At 43.3% G+C, this 6,000-nt stretch overlaps 1 protein-coding gene across 26 annotated transcripts in view, besides 1 other annotated feature; it reads left to right on the top strand.

Moving 5' to 3' along the window:
* Window positions 5,558-5,947: an enhancer, noted in NCBI's record as "active region_15407". NCBI's record gives its function as "activates an Ori minimal core promoter by ATAC-STARR-seq in GM12878 lymphoblastoid cells {active_cell/tissue: GM12878}" and the evidence as "EXISTENCE:reporter gene assay evidence [ECO:0000049][PMID:35858748]".
* Window positions 5,741-6,000, top strand: part of LDAH (lipid droplet associated hydrolase) — a 140,613-nt gene continuing 140,353 nt past the window's right edge. For all 26 annotated transcript variants that reach the window (XR_007079565.1, XR_007079563.1, XR_001738874.2 and 23 more), the window contains exon 1: window positions 5,741-5,805. The gene's annotated coding sequence lies outside the window, so the exon portion shown is untranslated. The remainder of the gene's footprint in view (window positions 5,806-6,000) is intronic.

Here is a 6,000-nt window from a genome sequence, read left to right as displayed (position 1 = left end):
AAATAGCATGTAGAAGTGATAAGTGATTCATTTCACTGAGGGAATGATGCAGCAAGCCAATTCTGAGATTAGGTTATAAAAGACTGTGGCTTTTGTCTTAGGTACTGTCTCTGTATTCTCTGTCTCTTCCTCTGATGGAAGAAAGCTGCCATATTTCAAACAGCACTGTGGAGAGGTCCTCATGGTGAAGAACTGTGGCCTACAGCCATTGAGGAAGTCTGACCTGCCAACAACCAAATAATCTAGTCTTGCTTCTTCAGCCCCAGTCAAGGCTTGAGATGCTGTAACCCTGAGCAACTGGCTTAACAGGAACCTCATGAAAGACTTGGCTAGAACCTCTCAGCTAGGCTGCTACTGGTGTCCTGACCCTTTGAAACTGTGTAAGATAATAAATGTTTTATGTTTTAAGCTGATATATTTTGGTGCAACTGGATAAATAGTAACCAATGCACTCCTTGCTCTCTGTTTCTAACCTTGCCTTTTAATTCCCCTTGCACTGTCATTATATATTAATTTCTTTAGTTTGTTTATTGTGTCTGTGAGAACAATCACATTTCTCTTTGAGTTGCCTTTGTATTCCTAGCCTGGAAGAGTGTTTGGAATGTGACAGATAGTCAATAAAAAATGGATGAGTAACGGGAGTCTAAAATTTTTATGCAAAAGACGATAGCTTTTCATTTACTGTTTTTAAGTCAGTCTACAGTGGTCTGACTTTATGGCCATTTGTGATTATAGTAGACATCTTCGTGGAATGTCTGCCCCATTCACTATGATCCTCTTACTTATGGCAAAAAGTCAATATGACCACAAGCACTTGTCATTGACAATTGAATGATTGCTGGACACCAGACCTGCTATGTTGGTGACTGGATCATGAGGGATCTGCTGTTATGAATGGATTAATCCATTCATGGACTAAGAGATTAATGGGCTAATAGATTAACGGGTTATCACAGGAGTGGAACTGGCGAGAAGGCTCTCACCAGCTTCAGCCTCTTGACCTTGGCCTTCTCAGCCTCTGGAACTGTAATAAATAAATTAGTTTTATTATTTATTTATTTATTTATTTATTTATTTTTGAGATGGAGTCTCACTCTGTCACCCAGGCTGGAGTGCAGTGGCGCCATCTCGGCTAACTGCAAGCTCCGCCTCCAGGGTTCACGCCATTCTCCTGCCTCCTGAGTAGCTGGGACTACAGGCGCCCGCCACCACGCCTGGTTTATTTTGTTTCTGTATTTTTAGTAGAGACAGGGTTTCAACGTGTTAGCCAGGATGTTCTCAATCTCCTGACCTAGTGACCCGCCCGTCTTGGCTTCCCAAAGTGCTGGGATTACAGGCGTGAGCCACCATGCCTGGCCTAATAAATTTGTTTTTAAAATAAATTACCCAGTTTCAGGCTGGACAGAGTGGCTCACACCTAGGCAACATGGCAAGACCTTATCTCTAAATATGTGTGTGTGTGTGTGTGTGTGTGTGTGTGTGTGTGTGTATAAAATTTATATCAGTCTACAGTGGTAGACTGATATTAAAAATATATATATATAAATTAGCCGGGCATAATGGCACATGCCTGTAGTCCCAGCTCTTCAGGAGGCTGAGGCAGGAAGATAGCTTGAGCCCAGAAGTTCAAGGTTACAGTGAAAAATGAAAATGAAATTAAATAAAATAAAATGTATAAATTACCCAGTTTTAGGTATTCTGTTATAAGCAACAGTAAATGGGCTAAGACAGAAAATTGGTACTGGGTTTGAATATTTGTCCCCTCCAAAACTCATTGTTGTAGTCTGTTTGTGTTGCTTTATAGGAATACCTGAGGTTATGTAATTTATAAAGAAAAGAGGTTTGTTTGGCTCATACCTCTGTAGGCTGTACCAGAAGCACGGTGCTGGCATCTGCCTCTGGTGAAGACCTCAGGCTGCTTCTATTTATGGTGGAAAATGAAGGAGAACTGGTATGTAGAAACTGCACAGCAATAGAAAGCAAGAGAGAGAAGGGAGGGGGTGCCAGCTCTTTTAGCAACCAGCTCTCATTGGAAGCAACAGAGCAAGAACTCATTCACTCTTGCGAGCATGGCACCAAGCCATTATGAGGGATCCATACCCACAACCCACAACCCAGACACTACCCACCAGGCCCCATCTCCAATACTGGGGACCACATTTCAATCTGAGACTTGGTGGGGGCCAAAACAAACCATATCCAAACCATAGCATTCATGTTGAAATTTATTTCATTTTAAATAATGTGTTTTGTTTTTTATTTTTGTGGGTACATAGTAAGTGTATATATTTATGAGCTCATGTTAAAATTTAATCCCCAAAGGGGAGTATTAAAAGATGGGACCTTTATGGGGTGATTGAATCAGGAGGGCTCGGCCCTCATGGATAGATTAATTCCTTCATAGATTAATGGATCAATAGGTTAATGAATTAGATTAAGGGGTATCATGTGAGGGGAACTGGTGGCTTTCCAAGAAAAGAAAGAGAAACCTGAGCTAGCACACTCAGCCTCCTGGACAAGTGAGGCCCTGTGCTGCCTTAAGACTCTTCAGAGAGTCTTTCACCAGGTATAGCCCCTCGACCTGGGACTTCTCAGCCTCCATAACTGTAAGAAATAATTTTTTCTTTACAAATTAGCCAGTTTCTGGTATTCTACTATAAGCAACAGAAAATGGACTAGGACAAGACCTGAGCTGAGCCAATCAGAAATTCTTCCCCGGGTATTAGGAATTAAAATCGAAAGAGGGAGAAAAAAGAATCTCTGTGTGGCTGTCCCTCTGCATCAATCTGGACAGGCTGTGTGGCACTGTGGTAAGAAACAACAGCAACAACCTCCAAAGCCTTAAGCAACAAAGGTTTATTTCTTATCACAATATGTGTTGCTATGGTTTGGATATAGTTTGTCCCCAAAAAGACTCATGCTGAAATTTGGTCCCCAGTGTGGTGATGTTCAGAAGTGGGGCCTATGGGGAGGTGTTGGGGTCATGGGGTGGATCCCTCATGAAGAGATTGTTGCTGTTCTCGCCAAAGTCAGTTCTTGTTCTGAGACACAGCAGAGACCCCTCTTAAGGGCTTGCAGGGCACTCTCCACCAAAAGATGAAAATAAAAAAAAATCTTGACTTCCTTAAAGAAAATTCCAGACATCTAGCTAGTCCTAAAAACAAAAACAAAAACAAAACAAACTTAAAAGCAAGAAGATAATAAGAGCTTAAAACAATAGCCAAAAAATTAATGTCACGGGATATTGTATTTCCTATAAAAACTAAAGGTAACATCTTAACATATGTCCCAAGTTGTTTTTCAGAAACCCAGATCCCCACTAAATGGATCCACTGGCACACAGGCCTCAAATAAGGGAGAATTGAAGGCTAAACTCTGACTACTATTCTTTGTTCTAAATTTCTTCTTGAGGTGCTTAAAGGAGGCCATGCCCATGAGCCCAAGCTAATATCCTTTTCTGCTGATATCAAATTTTTAGAGAGTTTCACCTTCTTAACAAATCACAAATCAGAAAATCCTTAAATTCCACCTATGACCTGTGGGCCCCCCTCTTTGAGATGCCCCGCCAATGCACGGCAGGCAAGCCCCAAATTGGGGATTTGCCCAGTAGAGTTCTTAGCTTCGCCAAGAAAGAATTCAAGGGTGAGCCGGTGGTGTTAAATAGCAACTTTTACTGAAGTAGTAGTGTCCAGAAGCAGCAGAGATACTGCTCCTTGCAGAGCAGGGCTACCCCATAGGCAGTGTGTCCAGAGTAGCATCTGAAAGGCAGTTCTTCTGTCATATTTATAATCATTTTTAATTACAGGCAAATTAAGGGGTGAATTATGCAGAAATTTCTAGGAAAAGGGTGGTAACCTCTGGGTTGTCAGGTTGTTGCCATGGAAAGGGGCATTAATATGGAAAGCTGCTTCCTCCCTGCCCCTGTTTTAGCTAGTCCTCAATTTGGTCTGGTGTCCAATTCCTGCATCCTACCTCACTGCATTTTTAGGTTAAGCCAATATATAACCTCCATATATTGATTTATGACTTTGCCTATAACCTCTGACACCCCTGCATTTAAAAACCCTTACCTATAAACAATTAGGGAGTTCAAGACTTAAGCACTAACTGACCAGTTCTCCTTGCTTGGGACCCTACAATAAATGCCTCACTTTCTTTCACTATAATCCTGATGTCAGTGTTTGGTCTTGCTGCACAGGCAATTGGACTCCAGTTTGGTTTGATAACAGCTCTTGAGAGATTGGAAAAGAGAGAGTCCCTGAGAGAGTGGGTTGTTTTCCACCTCCTGTTTGGTCTGTTTTCACATGTATCAGCTTCCCCTTTGACCTTCTACCATGTTGTGACACTGCACAAAAAACTCTAACCAGAACTGAGCAGATGCTCACACTATGCCCCTTGAGCTTTCCAATGTGCAGAACCATGAGCTAAGTAAACCTCTTTTTTAAATCCAAGCATACTTTGAAGATATTGGGGGTTCAGTTCCATACTACCACAATAAAGCAAACATCACAATAAGGCAGTTCACAGAATTTTTTTGGTTTCCCAGTGCATATAAAATTTATATTTACACTGTACTGTAGATTATTGTGTACAACAGTATTATGTCTAAAAAAAGTACATACTAAGAAAAGAAAAATAGCCCAGAGCTGTCTGAGCTATGTGAGGTATGCAAAATTTATTAGACCCGGACAGAAGTGAATACTGGCTTCCGCCACGCCTTCCCATGCCTTAGGGCAATTGTTAAAGGCATTTTGTTCTTTATTAGCTGCCTCACCCATTATCTTTATGTTCCTGGAATTTGTGATACAAGGAAGAAAGCATAGCCAGTCAATAGCTTAAGTTTTTTAAATATAAATTCTTGGTAAACAAGTTAAGCTCTGCCTCCTCTCCTTTCCTTAAAAACCGGCTCACGCCTGTAATCCCAGCACTTTGGGAGGCCGAGGCGGGTGGATCATGAGGTCAGGAGATCGAGACCATCCTGGCTAACAAGGTGAAACCCCGTCTCTACTAAAAATACAAAAAATTAGCCGGGCGCGGTGGCGGGCGCCTGTAGTCCCAGCTACTCGGGAGGCTGAGGCAGGAGAATGGCGTGAACCCGGGAAGCGGAGCTTTCAGTGAGCCGAGATTGCGCCACTGCGGTCCGCAGTCCGGCCTGGGCGACAGAGCAAGACTCCGTCTCAAAAAAAAAAAAAAAAAAAAAAAAAAACCTACTCCGACTGCTGCTAATTGGAGTGTATATTCAAGGCAACTTGAATCTAAGCTCCTGAGTGGCCATTCTCAAGCACTGAGCCCAAATAAACTCTATACTTAATATTATTCTCTGAATTTTCTTAAAGTTGGCAACACCTTAATTAAAAAAATACTTTATTGATCATGCTTATGAACATGATCAAATGAGAATCAACTTTCCTGTGTATGTGGGGAAGATATGCAACTAGTAACGCAGAAAGAGGGAAATGGGAAGAGGGAGAAAAGAGGGGCAGACATGGAACAAATGAGAGAGAAGGAAAGGGAAGCCAGAAGCCAGAAGCACATCAAGGATGACAGAAAATAAAAGGCGGATAAAATTCAAATGAAAAAGAAAGGAAAACCCCGACACCCTCCAAGAGGTCTCTCTGATCTGGACCACCGGCTCCAAGCCAGTAAGAAATCTCCCAGCCAGCTGTGCGCCGCGCGCCAGGCTGACATCGGCTTCCCGGATCAGCTCCGGCGCGGTACTGTGACGTCACCTGAGGGGGGCACTTCCGGTCTCGTGCCGCCTTCCCAGGACCCTCAGGGAGAGCGGGCAGCCTTCCAGGTGGACAGGTGAGGTACAGCTTGCCGAGCTCAGGGTGACTGCCCAAAGGAAGGACGGGTGGGCAGGCACGCGGGATCTGGCGCCCCTTCTTCTCTATGGTTCCTCGCAGAGCCCCTGTTGCCCTGGGCCAGATGGCCCGTAGCAGCAAAAATAATACTGTTCCGACAGCTCGCGAGTTCGGAGCCACTTGGCCTGGGAGTCCC

The sequence above is a fragment of the Homo sapiens genome, chromosome 2, assembly GCF_000001405.40.
Source record: "Homo sapiens chromosome 2, GRCh38.p14 Primary Assembly".
Taxonomy (NCBI): Eukaryota; Metazoa; Chordata; class Mammalia; order Primates; family Hominidae; genus Homo; species Homo sapiens.
This window is presented reverse-complemented; position numbering and strand designations above follow the sequence as displayed.